General features: G+C 46.2%; 7 annotated features.

Annotated features, from left to right (window-relative positions):
- Positions 2,288-2,667: an enhancer, noted in NCBI's record as "active region_28195". NCBI's record gives its function as "activates an Ori minimal core promoter by ATAC-STARR-seq in GM12878 lymphoblastoid cells {active_cell/tissue: GM12878}" and the evidence as "EXISTENCE:reporter gene assay evidence [ECO:0000049][PMID:35858748]".
- Positions 2,288-3,322: a biological region, named in NCBI's record as "NANOG-H3K27ac-H3K4me1 hESC enhancer GRCh37_chr9:6681205-6681953".
- Positions 2,574-3,322: an enhancer, noted in NCBI's record as "NANOG-H3K27ac-H3K4me1 hESC enhancer chr9:6681205-6681953 (GRCh37/hg19 assembly coordinates)". NCBI's record gives its function as "activates a minimal SCP1, AML or CMV promoter by ChIP-STARR-seq in naive H9 embryonic stem cells {active_cell/tissue: H9 hESC(naive)}" and the evidence as "EXISTENCE:reporter gene assay evidence [ECO:0000049][PMID:30033119]".
- Positions 2,788-3,077: an enhancer, noted in NCBI's record as "active region_28196". NCBI's record gives its function as "activates an Ori minimal core promoter by ATAC-STARR-seq in GM12878 lymphoblastoid cells {active_cell/tissue: GM12878}" and the evidence as "EXISTENCE:reporter gene assay evidence [ECO:0000049][PMID:35858748]".
- Positions 3,148-3,267: an enhancer, noted in NCBI's record as "active region_28197". NCBI's record gives its function as "activates an Ori minimal core promoter by ATAC-STARR-seq in GM12878 lymphoblastoid cells {active_cell/tissue: GM12878}" and the evidence as "EXISTENCE:reporter gene assay evidence [ECO:0000049][PMID:35858748]".
- Positions 4,836-5,095: an enhancer, noted in NCBI's record as "active region_28198". NCBI's record gives its function as "activates an Ori minimal core promoter by ATAC-STARR-seq in GM12878 lymphoblastoid cells {active_cell/tissue: GM12878}" and the evidence as "EXISTENCE:reporter gene assay evidence [ECO:0000049][PMID:35858748]".
- Positions 12,829-13,439: an enhancer, noted in NCBI's record as "H3K27ac hESC enhancer chr9:6691460-6692070 (GRCh37/hg19 assembly coordinates)". NCBI's record gives its function as "activates a minimal SCP1, AML or CMV promoter by ChIP-STARR-seq in primed H9 embryonic stem cells {active_cell/tissue: H9 hESC(primed)}" and the evidence as "EXISTENCE:reporter gene assay evidence [ECO:0000049][PMID:30033119]".

Consider the following 15,736-nt stretch of genomic DNA (forward strand, 5'->3'; position numbering starts at 1 on the left):
AGCATGGTGGTGCATGCCTGTAGTCCCAGCTATTCGGGAGGCTGAGGCAGCAGAATCGCTTGAACCTGGGAGGTTGCAGTGAGCTGAGATTGCACCATTGCACTCCAGATTGGGCAACAGAGTGAGACTTTGTCTCAATAAATAAATAAATAAATAAATAAATAAATAAATAAATAAATAAATAAAATCCCATCTTTAAGTAGATGTGGTCACTGGGCAGCTTTCGCCCAGGTTTGTAACCTGCATTTGCTTTGATCCAAAGAACTTCAACCCATGAAAGCTAGTCTCAGACTGAAAGGGCTTCAAGGAACCTAGCAGAAGCAAACAAAGATCTTCTCCAAATGAAGCCACAAGTACTTTTTCTCACAAATACTTTTTCAAGAACAAAAAGTAAACACACAAGGAAACAAGACACTGTGGGTGCACTGGCATGCACCTGTAGTCCCAGCTACTAGAGAAGCTAAAGAGGATCTCTTGAGTCCCAGGAGATTGAGTCCAGCTTGGGCAAAATGAAAAGACGCCATGGATGTATACACAACATAAACATCAGAAAGAAACTTGAAAAAGGCTGGGCGTGGTGGCTCATGCCTGTAATCCCAGCACTTTGGGAGGCCGAGGCAGGTGGATCACCTGAGGTCAGGAGTTTGAGACCAGCCTGGCCAACATGGTGAAACCTGACCTCTACTAAATATACAAAAATTAGCCAGGTGTGGTGGCAGGCGCCTGTAATCCCAGCTACTTGAGAGGCAGAGGCAGGAGAATCACTTGAACCCAGGAGGCAGAGGTTGCAGTTAGCCGAGATCATGCCATTGCACTCCAGCACTCCAGCCTGGGCAACAGAGCAAAACTCCGTCTCAACAACAACAACAAAAAATTAGCCAGGAATGGTGGCACACACCTATAGTCCCAGTTACTCAGGAGGCTGAGGCACGAAAATCGCTTGAACCTTGGAGAGGGAGGTTGCAGTGAGCTGAGATCAAACCACTGCACTCTAGCCTGGGTGACAGAGTGAGATTCTGTCTCAAAAAAAAAAAAAAAAAAAAAAACCTTGAAAAAAATTCAGACACTGGAATTATCATAATACAGATTACAAAATAATTATGATTACTATGTTCCAAGGAATAAAATAATCCAACATACCAATTAGCAGGAAATAGGACAGAGAAACATGTTGAAATGGTCTATGTATATGGAATCATCAAAGTCACAACTCTGGGAAACTCTGTAGAGTTAAAGGCCCCAAGTTCTTAAACGCTTTCAACGCTTTACCATTAAGTAGGATGTTTGGTGTATGGTGTTTTGCAGATACCCTCTATAAGATTAATTTCTCTTCTATTCCTGGTTTTCCATGAGTGTTTATCATGAATAAGTGTTAAATTTAATAAATTATTCTACATTTATTAAGATGATATTTTCTCCATTAATTAGTTAGTATCTTCAATTACAGTAATTTGTCTTCTCATGTTAAAACAACCTAATTTGGCTGGACGAGGTGGCTCACGCCTGTAATCCCACCACTTTGGCAGGCGGGTGGATCACTTGAGGTCAGGAGTTTCAGACCAGCCTGGCCAATACGGTGAAACCCCCCCACCGTCTCTACTAAAAATACAAAAAAAATTAGCCGGGCGTGGTGACGCACGCCTGTAATCCCAGCTACTCGGGAGGCTGAGGCAGGAGAATCACTTGAATCCAGGAGGTGGAGGTTTCAAAAAAAAAAAAAAAAAAGAACAAAACGTCTCAAAAAAAAACCCCCACAAAACAGAACAAAACAAAAAACCACATAACTTGGCTATGGTATTATTCCTTTCACATAATACTAGATTTTGCTAATATTTTGCTTACAGAGTTTCCCGTCTAGACTCATGAGCAAAACTTGCATACACTTTTCCTTCCATTCGCTGTTCTCGTCAGGTTTTCCTATCAGGGTTATGCTAGGCCATTAAAAAGTTTAAAAGTGTTACCCGCTTTCATCTTCCTTCCCCCTTTTATTCTGGAACTATTAAAGACTGGAATTATGTTTTCCTCTTATATATCGTTCAATTTGCCAGGGAAGCCATGGTGGCTTGCAGTCTTCTTTGTTGGAAGACTTTGGACTACTCTTTCAATTTGTTACTAAACTATGTAGGTTTCCCATTTCCCTAAACATGGAAACAGAAGACCTCCTAGGACGTCTCCATTGCGGGAGGGAGACTGCAGAGGTCTCCGGCCACAGGACTGAGGAAAACCGCAAAAAGACGCGGTCACTACTAGGCGGAGTTAAACTATGGAGCCGGTACCCCCAATACCCTGCCCGGCAAGGCCGCCTCGTGACGTCCCCGTCTGACAGAGTCCCTCCCCATAGGGCCGCGACAGAACCACCGCACGATGGGACACGCGAGGGTAAGCTCAGGTCTCAGCGCATCGTGTGGGCGTCGGGACAGCGTCCTGGGCACCTGTTCCTTCCACCTGCTCAAATCTCTTTCCCTTCTATGAAGAAGGGGGCTCCGGGCCCCATCCCCAGGGAGCAAGAAGACGCAGAGGACCGCGCCGGTTCAGGTGCCGCTGGAGAAATGGAATCTGACGGAGAAACTGATCTGGGGCGGCAGCCCGCTAGGTTCGCCTGACTCACTAAATGCTACTACAGTGCCCCACACGGACTGCCACGAGCGGGTCACGTGACTGGACTCTGGATCGGCTGTGCTGTGATGGCCGCGTAGCGCGCTGCTGTGCGCGCGAGACTATAAGCCTCTGGGCCGCCGGTGCCTCCGCGCGGTCACCGCCTCCACCCGCCTGGCCGCTTCCCTCGGCGCATGCGTAGCACACCGACTCCAGGATTGTTTCCCAAATCCCACTTCCGCCACTTCCTCCTCCCGAGACCAGCCAAGCGCGCCTGGCTGTCTGCCCTTCTTGGGCTCTTGGGGAGAACGTGGTCCGGGAACTGGCAGTCACGGGGAGGCAGCACAAGAGGTTTTCGCCCTCATGTGCTGGTGCAACTATCGCGACCATCACCCTGAGAACTGGAGGAAGGGTGCCGCAGGCAAAGAGTGGCGCGCCTGCAGATTCGGTTCCGCGCTTGGGGCTCTCGCGAGACCCGGCGCTGGAGTGTGGACCGCGCGTGCCGGTGACGCGTGGTGCAGACACGTCGCCGGTGCCTCTCTCCCTAGGCCTTCCTGGGGGTGAGCTTCCGTCCCAGACGTCTTCGGTCCTACACTGCTTCCATTTCTTTTTTTTTTTTTTCCTTCTTTTTTTCTTTGAGACAGGGGCTCATTCTATCACCCAGGCTGGAGTGCAGCGGCGCGATCTCGGCCCACCGTAAGCTCCGCCTCCCGGGCTCAAGCGATCCTCCCACTTCAGCCTCCTGAGTAGCTGGGACTCCAGGTGAGCGCCCTGCTAATTTTATATTTTTGGTAGAGACGGGGTTTCGCCATGTTGCCCAGGCTGGTCTCAACTCCTGGTCTCAAGTGATCCGCCTGCCTTGGCCTTCCAAAGTGCTGGGCTTACAGGCGGGAGCCACTGCACCCAGCCCTACGCCCCATCTTTCTGGGTTTCTGCCTGGTATTGTTACATCTCCAACAGGCTTAACTCAAAGCTGACTTTCCGCCTGTGCTGTATCTGCCCCATGGTCCTTTAGAGTATATAAAATATAAATGGCACTTTGGGAGGCCGAGGCAGGAGGATTGCTTGAGCTCAGGAGTTACTGACCAGCCTGGGCAACATAGTGAGACCCCCGTCTCATTAAAAAATAATAATGCAGGCAGGGCGCAGTGGCTCATGCCTGTAAACCGAGCACTTTCGGAGGCCAAGGTGGGCGGATCGCCTGAGATTGGGAGTTCGAGACCAGCCTGACCAACATGGAGAAACCCCATCTCTACTAAAAATACAAAATTAGTTGGGCGTGGTGGTGCGTGCCTGTAATCCCAGCTATTCAGGAGGCTGAGGCAGGAGAATCGCTTGAACCCGGGAGACGGAGCTTACAGTGAGTCGAGATGAGCCACTGCACTCCAGCCTGGGCAACAAGAGCGAAACTCCATCTCAAATAATAATAATAATACAAATAAATAAATGTACACACACAAATAAATGGACTTGATAGCGATTTTTTTAGGTTTTCAGCTGCCCAATTCAAGAAATGTATTTCTTCTTGTCCCTGATTTCCGTCACTGTCCCAAGGCAGTGGGATTAAAGCACCACTACCGTTTTTAGATCCTTGTGTTTGGCATTCCATGTCCTCCTCTCAAGACGTTTGACGTAACTTTCTCCATCTGCTCTGTTGAAACATATGCTTCAAAATCTTTTTTTTTTTTTTTTTGAGACGGAGTCTCGCTCTGTTGCCCAGGCTGGAGTGCAGTGGCGCGATCTCGGCTCACTGCAAGCTCCGCCTCCCGGGTTCAAGTGATTCTCCTGCCTCAGCCTCCCAAGTAGCTAGGACTACAGGCGCCCGCCACCAAGCCCGGCTAATTTTTTGTATTTTTAGTAGAGACGGGGTTTCACCGTGTTAGCCAGGATGGTCTCGATCTCCTGACCTCGTGATCCACCTGCCTCGGCCTCCCAAATTGTTGGGATTACAGGCGTGAGCCACTGCACCCAGCCTACCAGCCTAGACCTAGTTTTAGTTCCTTTTTTTGCTTCACTCCATTGTAGCTTAGGAAGCTAGTTTCAATTCCGGATTCTACCGTCTATCTGTATGACTGGGCCTTTGGTCAGTCTTTCTAAAATGAAGATTGCTCATTTTACAAATGAGTAAAAACTACCTGACATGTAGTGCAGGCTTTGTAAAGCACTCATCATGCTGCTTGTCATACTGTAAGCACTGATATGGCATAGGAAACCCAACCCCCAAACATAGCACCTTGGAAGTTGAGAAAACAGCATATACTGGAAGGCCACTGTCACATCTCCCTCACCCGTCTCTGAAGCAGGCCATAAAGCCTAGGAAGGTCATCCTCTTATCTCTCTTGAAAACCCTCATGTGGCAGGTGTCCTGCCCTATATCAGGGTGGAAGGAATGTCACACAGGGACACCAAGAATAATCTGAACAAACAGGTCTTGCTAATCTCATGCCCCCAATTTATTACCGTGAGATCATACCCGCTTTGTTCAATCATACTTCTGCACAACTATCCACTTTCTCAAACCTATGCATAAAAGTACACAGACTTTTCTTTGGGTCATTTCCTTAGGAAGACTCCCCATCATGTAAAACTTATATTACACAAATTTGTATGCTTTTCTCTTGTTAATCTGTATTTTGTTATAGGAGTCTCAGCCATGAACCTTACCATGGTTAAGGAAAACTTGCTTTTTCTTCTCTACACACTCAAATAAATTAGTTTGCCTCCTTTTCCATGCTTACCCAATATAAAATAGTAAAATGCCTCTTTTTTTTTTTTTTTTTTTTTTTTTCTGAGAGGGAGTCTCGCTCTGTTGCCCAGGCTGGAGTGCAGTGGCGCGATCTCGGCTCACTGCAACCTCCGCCTCCCAGGTTCAAGCAATTCTCCAGCCTCAGCCTCCTGAGTAGCTCGGATTATAGGTGCCTGCCACCACGCGTGGCTAATTTTTGTATTTTTAGTAGAGAAAGGGTTTCGCCATAATGGTCAGGCTGGTCTCGAATTCCTGACCTGAGGTGATCCACCCATCTTGACCTCCCAAAGTGCTGGGATTGCAAGCGTGAGCCACTGCGCCCGGCCTAAAATGCCTCTTAGTAAGACTTAATTTCTGTCCAGGCATGGTGGTTCATGCCTGTAACCCCAACACTTTGGGAGGCCGAGGCGGGTGGATCACCTGAGGTCAGGAGTTCGAGACCAGCCTGGCCAACATGGTGAAACCCCATCTCTAATAAAAATACAAAAAGCATTAGCCGGGCATGGTGGCGGTGCCTGTAATCCCAGCTACTCGGGTGGCTGAGGCATGAGAATCACTTGAATCCGGGAGGTGGAGGTTGCAGTGAGCTGAGATGGCGCCACTGCACTCAAGCCTGGGTGACACAGCAAAAATCTGCCTCAAAAAAACAAAATAAAAAATGAGAAAAAATACTTAATTTGTGCTGTGCCACCAAAAAATGTGCATGCTAGAAACTGTACTTTACACTATGACATTTTATGTAACTGTCTTATTTCCCCCATGAGACTGCAGTGGTCTCAAGGGTAGAGGATTGACCTTGTCCATATGTGTTTTCTAGGCTTCCATCATTTGCCACAGACTGAGACATGTACTAAGTTGTACGCCGTAAATACTTCATAAATAGTTACTGAAGGCATAAATAGGCAGAGAGTAGAGTTTGTTTGTTTGTTTGTTTGCTTACAAAAAAAGGGAAAAGAAAGCAAATGCTGAAAAAACTTGCTGTTAAACCATGCACGCACGACATGAGGTCTTTGTAATTGGTTCAGGAAGATTTCCTTCTCCCCATGCTCCACCCTCTTCATTACAAAGATGAAATTATTTTTATGTTTAATATTTATTTATTTATTGAGACGGAGTTTTGCTCTTGTTGCCCAGTCTGGAGTGCAATGGCATGATCTCAGTTCACTGCAACCTCCATCTCCTGGGTTCAAGCGATTCTCCTGCCTTAGCCTCCCAAGTAGCTAGGATTATAGGCATGCGCCACCATGCTCAGATAATTTTGTATTTTTAGTAGAGATGGGGTTTAGCCATGTTGGTCAGGCTGGTCTCGAACTCCTGACCTCAGGTGATCCGCCCGCCTTTGCCTTCCCAAAGTGTTGGGGTTATAGGTGTGAGCCACTGCATCTAGCCTTTTTTTTTTCTTTTTTTCTTTTGAGACAGAGTCTCACTCTGTTGCCCAGGCTGGAGTGCAGTGTCATGTGATCTTCGCTCACTGCAACCTCCTCCTCCCAGGTTCAAGTAGTTCTTCTGTCTCAGCCTCCTGAGTAGCTGGGACTACAGGCACCCGCCACCACACTCAGCTAATTTTTTGTATTTTTAGTAAAGACAGGGTTTCACCATATCGGTCAGGCTGGTCTTGAACTCCTGACCTCAGGTGATCCACCCGCCTCAGCCTCCCAAAGTGCTGGGATTATAGGCTTGAGCCACCACGCCCAGCCATGGCCTATTATTATTATTATTATTATTATTATTACTATTATTATTATTATTATTATTATTTTGTGACAGAGTCTTGCTCTGTTGCCAGGCTGGAGTGCAGTGGTGCTATCTTGGCTCACTGCAACCTCCACCTCCCAGGTACAAGCGATTCTGCTGCCTCAGCCTTCTGAGTAGCTGGGATTATAGGCGCGCGCCACGACACCCAGCTAATTTTTGTATTTTTAGTAGAGACGAGGTTTCACCATGTTGGCCAGGATGGTCTCAATCTCTTGACCTCATGATCCGCCTGCCTTGGCATCCCAAAGTGCTGAGATTACAGCCATATATTTATTATTATTATTATTATTATTATTATTTTGAGACAGGTTCTTGCTCTGTCACCCAGCCTGGAGTGCAGTGGCATGATCTTGGCTCACTGCAACCTCTGCCTCCTGGGATCAAGCAATTCTCTTGCTTTAGCCTCCCGAGTAGCTGGGATTACAGGCACACAACACCACACCTGCCTAATTCTTCTACGTTTTGTAGAGATGGAGTCTCGCCATGTTGCCCAGCCTGGTCTTGAATTCCTGGCTTCAAGTGATCCTCTAGCCTCAGCCTCCCAAATTGCTGGGATTACAAGGATGAGCCAATGCACCCAGCCTGTGTTTATTCTTTTAAATGATAGTAAAGTACAATAGAGGGAGAGAATTGCAGGTTATATTTTTTGTTTGTTTCTCTGTTTTTTATTTAATGTCTCCCCAGAAACCTCCATAGGTGCTTCACTTTCTAGTTTAGTTCCTGCTAATTTTAATAGCTCAAATGTTACCCTATCAGGGGTGTCAGTGGGAGAGCCCTGCGGAAGTGGAGTTCCCTGAGGAGGAAAGTTTCTACATTCAGAAAAGACTTGGCTTGGGTTTTGTCGGGAGGTAAAAATGGGTCAGTGACTCAGAAAAGCTTGCCTAAAAGCTGACATCTAGTGTTCATTTCTGAAAATATGTCCTGACATACTAACCCTGAGATTTTCTATCCCAAGAACTGTTTTTATTGATTTTATTGTTACGCACCAGATTTCAAGACCATTTGACTACCCAAAGAAACACAACTTAGAAAATAATTATGGTTTTCACTTTGTTTTAATCACAATACATATAATACTGCCAAAACAGGACTTTGGATCAACAGACATAATAGCAATTATTATTATTTTATTTTACTTATTATTATTATTTTTGAGACGGAGTGTCACTCTATTGCCCAAGCTGGAGTGCAGTGGCAGGATCTTGGCTGACTGCAACCTCCGCCTCTCGGGTTCAAGCGATTCTCCTGCCTCAGCCTCCCAGGTAGCTGGGATTACAGGCATGCGCCACCAGGCCTGGCTAAGTTTGTATTTTTAGTAGAGATGGGGTTTCACCATGTTGGCCAGGCTGGTCTCGAACTCCTGACCTCAGGTGATTCACCTGCCTCGGCCTCCCAAAGTGCTGGGATTACAGGCGTGAGCCACTGCACCTGGCCAGCAATTATTTTATTTATTTGAGATAGAATCTCACTTTGTTGCCCAGGTCTGACTTTGCAGTGGCACAAGCATGGCTCACCACAGTCTAGATCTCCTGGGCTCAAGCAGTCCTCCCGCCTCAGCCTCCCTAGTAGCTGATACCATAGGCCTGCACCATCGTGGCCAGCTTTTAAAATTTATTTTTGTAGAGACAGGGTCTCACTGTGCTGCCCAGGCTGGTCTCAAATTCCCAAACTCAAAGGATCGTCCTGCCTCAGCCACCTAAAGTGCTGGGATTACAAGCATGTGCCACCTTGCCTGACTCCAGTTGATTTTTCATTTTTATTTTTATTTTATGTTTTGGGAAGGGTCTTGCTTTGTTGCCCAGGGTGGAGTGCACTTGTGCAATCTCAGCTCCCCGCAGCCTTGACCTCCTGGGCCCGGGCAATCCTCCCACCTCAACCTCCCAAATAGCTGGGACTACAGGTACATGCCACCATGCTGGCTAATTTTTAATTTTCTGTAAAAACAGGAGTCTCACAGCCCAGCATGGTGGCTCACGCCTGTAATCCTAGTACTTTGGGAGGCTAGGGCAGGAGGACCACTTGAGACCAGCCTGGGCAACAGAGTGGGACCCCTCTCTCTTTTTAAAATTATTTTTTATCTTTTTTTTTTTTTTTTTTTTAAACAGGGTCTTGTTCTGTCACCCAGGCTGGAGTGCAGTGGTGTGATCTCAGCTCAGTGCAGCCTCAACTGCCAGGGCTCAAGTGATCCTCCCAACTCAGCCTCCCGCATAGCTGGGACTACAGGTGTGTGCCGCCATGCCTGGCTAATTTTTAATTTTTTTTGTAGGGATGGAGTTTCACCATGTTGCCCAGTCTGGTCTGGAACTCCTGGGCTCAAGCTATCCACCCATCTCAGTCTCCTAAAGTGCTGGGACTACAGGCGTGAGCAACTGCACCTGGCTGATCCATCATTTTTAATAGTGAGATATTTGAAATTTACTCTTCTAGTTATTTTGAAAGAGAAACTATGGCTGGGCATGATGGCTTATGCCTACAATCCCGCGCTTTGGGAGGCCAAGGCGGGTGGATCATCTGAGGTCAGGAGTTCTAGACCAGCCTGGCCAACATAGTGAAACCCCTTCTCTACTAAAAATACAAAAATTAGCCGGGCGTGGTGGCGGGCGCCTGTAATCCCAGCTACTTGGGGGGGCCGAGGCAGGAGAATCGCTTGAAGCTGGGAGGCGGGAGGTTGCAGTGAGCCGAGATCACGCCACTGCACTCCAGCCTGGGTGACAGAGTGAGACTCCATCTCAGAAAAAAAAAAAAAAGAGAAACTACATCGTTATTATTATTTTGTTGTTGTTGTTGGTTTTGGCCAAACTTTTTATTTAGTATGCTGTAGTTGTTTAACACACACTTAAATGGTCTTATTGGGGGAGGGGAAAGGAGAGGTTCCTGCAGATTCCCAAACAAATGTCAGAAAGGCAAAATAGCCAGCATTCTCCATTTGCTTTTTTGGGTTTACTGGGTGAATAGCACTTCCCTTACATAGGCATCTGATTTCAGGTTTTTCATACTGAGAACATTGAGATTTCAGCTGGAAGACACCCTGAAATCTTCTGAGTAGCATACCTCAACCACCCTCTAATAACTGACTTGTTTGTATAGGCAGAACGATTCATCTCTCCATTTTAGATGGCTAGATAAAACTACATCATTATTGATTATAGTCACTCTATTGTGCAGTAAATCTCAAAGCCTTCTATCTGAAATTTTGCACCCTTTGATTAACAATTCCCCATTCTCCTCGTCTCCACTCTCCCCAGCCTCTGGTAGCCATCATTCTACTATCTGCTGCTATGAATTTGACATGTTTGGATTCCACATATAAGTGAGATCATGTAGTATTTGTCTTTCTATACCTGGCTTATTTCACTTAGCATAATGTTTTCCAGATTCATCCATCTTGTCACAAATGATGGTATTTACCTACATTTTTGTTTTTGGAGACAGGGTCTCACTTTGTTGTCCAGGTTGGAGTGCAGTGGTACAAACACAGCTCACTGCAACCTCAACCTTGACCAGGCTCAAGTGATCCTCTCACCTCAGCCCCCCAAGTAGCTGGGACTACAGGCGTGAACCACCACACCCTGCTAATTTTTTTTTGTTTTTGATACGGAGCCTCACTCTGTCACCAGGATGGAGTACAGTGGTGCCATCTTGTCTCACTGCAACCTCTGCCTCCCAGGTTCAAGCAATTCTCCTGCCTCAGCCTCCTGAGTAGCTGGGATTACAGGTGCACACCACCACGGTCAGCTAATTTTTGTATTTTTAGTAGAGACAGGGTTTAACCATGTTGGCCAGGATGGTCTCAATCTCTTGCCCTCGTGATCCTCCCGCCTCAGCCTCCCAAAGTGCTGGGATTACAGGCATGAACCACCGTGCCCGGCCTGGACTTTTTTCTTTTTTTTGAGACAGGGTCTCACTATGTTGCTCAGGCTGGAGTGCAGTGGCGCAGTCTCAGCTCACCGCAACCTCTGCCTCCCAGGTTCAAGCGATTCTCCTGTTTCAGTCTCCCAAGAAGCTTGGGATTACAGGTGCCTGCCACCATGCCCAGTTAATTTTTGTATTTTTAGTAGAGACAGGGTTTCACCACATTGGCCAGGCTGGTCTTGAACTCCTGACCTCAGGTGATCTGCCTGCCTCAGCCTTCCAAAGTGCTGGGATTACATGCTTGAGCCAACGCGCCTAGCCAAAAAGGACTTCTATAGGAAGGACAAATAGGTTTCTCTAAAAAAGACAAATGTGTTTTTAGAAGAACAAATGGGAGACATGCAAACATTATCACAAACCAAACTTTCTTATATAGGTGTGAGTGGTCTTTTTCAGGTTCATAAAACTGCCAGAGAGGGGATTTATGGTAGGTTTATTCTGGGTCTCTCCCCTGGGAGTAGAAGCCACCCCAAACAGGAAATTTATGTCCGTCCTCATTTCTCAGAAGTTTCTACTTTTAATCAAATAAGGGAAGTCCCAAGGAAGCTTCTTTCTGCATCTGTTCCATCTCAAATGTCTTCAGCTTAAAATAATCTTTATACTAACTCCAGTGTTCTGAGTGGGACCCCACAATTGTATATTTAATCACCTTGTGAAACTTGACAAGTATTTAACCCAACATTTTCTGATTTGGAATATTTTAGAGAATGTGATTCATTAATAAATCATTTATCAAAAAAAGAGATCATTGGTTTGACAGTGCTGGGCTTACAGGCATGGGCCACCATGCCCGGCCAGCAGTATGTATTTTAGTTGACTGGCAAACAGACAATTGTTCCCTTTTTTCCTTTTTTAAATTTCAAGCCTTGTCACTGTGTCATAAGACAATTGTTCATGATGTCATAAATGTAATTTTTACTTCAATAAACTATAATACACTTGTAACATTCCAGGCTCTTTTTATTGTGTGTGTGTGTGTGTGTTCTTTTTTAAATTTTTAATTATTGGCTGGGCACAGTGTCTCATGCCTGTAATCCTAGCACTTTGGGACGCCAAAGCAGGTGAATCACTTGAGGTCAGGAGTTCAAGACCAGCCTGGGCAACATGGTGAAACCGCGTCTCTACTAAAAATACAAAAATTAGCTGGGTGTGGTGACACACATTTGTAATTGCAGCTACTCAGGAGGCTGAGGAATGAGAATCACTTGAACCCGGGAGATGGAGGTTTCAGTGAGCCGAAATCGCACCAGTGCACACCGGTCTAGGTGACAGAATGAGAATCTGTCTCAAAATAAAAAAAAATGGTTTTCAGGCCTTTCTTTTTTTTGTTAGAGACAGGATTTCACTCTGTCTCCCAGACTGGAGTGCAGTGACACAATCATAGTTCACTGCAGCCTTGAGCTGTTGGGCTCAGGGAATCCTGCCTCAGCCTCTTGAGTGGCTGGGACTACAAGCATGCCACGATGCCTAGCTATTTTTATTTATTTTTTATTTTTATTTATTTATTTTTGAAACAGAGTCTTGCTTTGTCACCCAGGCTGGAATGCAGTGGTGCGATCTGGCTCACTGCAACCTCCGCCTCCTGGGTTCAAGCAATTCTCCTGCCTCAGCCTCCTGAGTAGCTGGGACTACAGGCGTGCACCACCACACCCAGCTAATTTTTGTATTTTTAGTAGAAACGGGGTTTCACCATGTTAGCCAGGCTGGTCTCGAACTCTTGACCTCAGGTAATCCATCTGCCTCGGCCTCCCAAATTGCTGGGATTACAGGCGGTAGTCACCATGTCTGGCCAATTTTTAAAAAGATTTTACAGAGACAGAGTCTTGCTATGTTGCCCAGGCTGGTCTTGAACTCCTGGCCTCAAGCGATCCTCCCACCTGGGCCTCCCAAAATCCTGGGATTATGGGCATGACCCACCCCAACCATCCTGGTTTTTAGGCCTTTGTAACTAAATAATTTATTCACTCAAGTGACAACTCTCTGCTTCCATAGCAAAATACAAAGATTTATGAAAGATTTTTCCAGATAAAATCATTTAACTTTAGGCCAGGCGTGATGGCCCATGCTGTAATCCCAGCACTTTGAGAGGCTGAGTGGGTCAATCACATGAGGTCAGGAGTTCGAGACCAGCCTGGCCAACATGGTGAGACTCTGTCTCATTGTTCCTTAGAAATCCAAGAGTAGGCTGAGCGTGGTGGTTCAGGCCTGTAATCCCATAACTTTGGGAGGCCGAGGTGGGTGGATCACCTTGGGTCAGAAGTTCGAGACCAGCCTGGTCAACATGGTGAAATCCCGTCTCTACTAAAAGTACAAAAATTAGCAGGGCATGGTGGTGGGTGCCTGTAATCCCAGCTATTCAGGAGGCTGAGGCAGGAGAATCGATTAAACCTGGGAGGCGGAGGTTGCAGTGAGCCGAGATCATGCCATCGTACTCCAGCCTGGGTGACAAGAGTGAAACTCCATCTCAAAAAAAACAAAAAACAAAAAAAATTAAGAGGAGCTTCTGTTACAATAACTGTTTTAGTCAAAAAATCAGGTGAAAACAGAACTCAGTCAACTGAGAAGCAAAAAAAAGACAAGGTCTCAGGAGAGAAAAACAAACAAAAAACAAAAACACAAAGGCCTTTCAAATACGAACATGCACACATGCACACATACACACACACATCTTGGATGTTAACTTTTTAATTAAGCTGACTTTTAACCATTAAGCTCATTTTTAAAAAAATTTTTTTATCTTTTTTTTTTTGAGACGGAGTCTCTCTCTGTCGCCCAGGCTGGAGTGCAATGGTGTGATCTTGGCTTACTGCAACCTCTGCCTTCCGTGTTCAAGTAATTCTCCTGCCTCAGCCTCCTGAGTAGCTGGGATTACAGGCACGCACCACCACGCCCGGCTAATTTTTTTATTTTTCGTAGTGACAGGGTTTCACCATGTTAGGCTGGTCTTGAACTCCAGACCTCGTGATCCACTTGCCTCAGCCTCCCCACCTGCTGGGATTACAGGTGTGAGCCACTGTGCCCAGCCTTTTTAAAATCTTATTACCATATTTCAGCTAAGACAAAATGCTGTTATTTCAGAAATACAGGCATTGCTCTTTCAGTTTGGTCTGGCTGGCAAAAAGGTGGCCTTGTTATGTAAATAGAGCCCCTTTAGTAGTTAAAATTTAAAATCTTTTCTTTTCTCTTATATTTTCCCTCTTGTTGGCTGTTTTCCTCCCACTTCAGAGGCCTTGTTCCCAGTAATTTAGGGTTCCCCTTCTGATTTGACCAAGACAGAAACAAAACAGTTAAGCACAACTATTTCTGAGCGCCCTAAGTGTAAGCAGAAGTTAACACCAGCTGGTTGTTCATGCTAATTTTAGTCATTTAAAAGAATTTGCAAGACAGAATCCCAAACCAGTTTCTTACCTAGTGACGGGGCCAAGCCGGAGATCGCTCTCCACTGATGCAGAAGCAGATGAATTCGCCTTCCTTGGTGGAAGCGAATGGAAAAACTCCCACAAAAAGGGAGTTTTGTTTTTTTTAAAAAAAACAGCAAATAAACCTCAGACCCCCAGCTGAAAAATGCTGGAAGATCAGAGATTCTCGGAGGAAAGAGGTCCTGGACTTTGGCAAATTGTCTTGTCGGTTTGGGCTGTAAGGTGTCCAAGCCAACACCAAGCACCAAGAGGCGAACTGCTGCAGGCTGGGCCACTTTCATCTAGGATCCCTTCCTGATTACCAGATGTCAGTCGAGAAAAATGATGAGACAAGTCTCAATCATTTTAGGAGATGTATTTGTCAAAGTTAAGAAAGCGCACAGGAGACAGGTCTATGCTTTCTCCGAAGATGATTTTGAGGGTTCCAAATTTAAAGGGGAAAGGGCAGGATATTGAGAAGCACACAGTTTTTACATAAACAAAAGAGGCAGGGAAAAAATATGGGGAATCTGCATTTTACCTAAGATAATACGGACAAAATGGGGTAGGGGAACAATCAGGTACACATTTTTGTCTGGTGGGCTGGGGTGACCGCACCTGTAAAGCTAAGCTATCAATTTGCATTGTCGGCTGGGCACAGTGGCACACGCCTGTAATCCCAGCACTTTGGGAGGCTGAGGCGGGTGGATCACCTGAGGTTGGGAGTTTGAGACCAACCTGCCCAAGGTGGTGAAACCCAGTCTCTACTAAAAATACAAAAAAAAAAAAAAAAAAAATTAGTCAGGTGTGGTGGCGGGCACCTGTAGTCCCAGCTACTCGGGAGGTTGAGGCACAGAATTGCTTGAACTCGGGAGGTGGAGGTTGCAGTGAGCCGAGATCGCACCACTGCACTCCAGTCTCAAAAAAAAAAAAAAAAAAAATTGCATTGCCATGGTGAACTTCTTTTTTTTTTTTTTTTTTTTTTTTTTTTTGAGACGGAGTCTCGCTCTGTCGCCCAGGCTGGAGTGCAGTGGCGTGATCTCGGCTCACTGCAAGCTCCGCCTCCCGAGTTCACGCCATTCTCCTGCCTCAGCCTCCCGAGTAGCTGGGACTACAGGCGCCCGCCGCCATGCCCGGCTAATGTTTTATATTTTTAGTAGAGATGGGGTTTCACCGTGTTAGCCAGGATGGTCTCGATCTCCTGACCTTGTGATCCACCCGCCTCGGCCTCCCAAAGTTCTAGGATTACAGGCGTGAGCCACCGCTCCCGGCTGCCATGGTGAACTTCTAAGAACTCACCAGGAATTTCCTTGTGGGCAAAATATGGGGG

This window comes from Homo sapiens, chromosome 9 (assembly GCF_000001405.40).
Source record: "Homo sapiens chromosome 9, GRCh38.p14 Primary Assembly".
NCBI classification, from domain to species: Eukaryota; Metazoa; Chordata; class Mammalia; order Primates; family Hominidae; genus Homo; species Homo sapiens.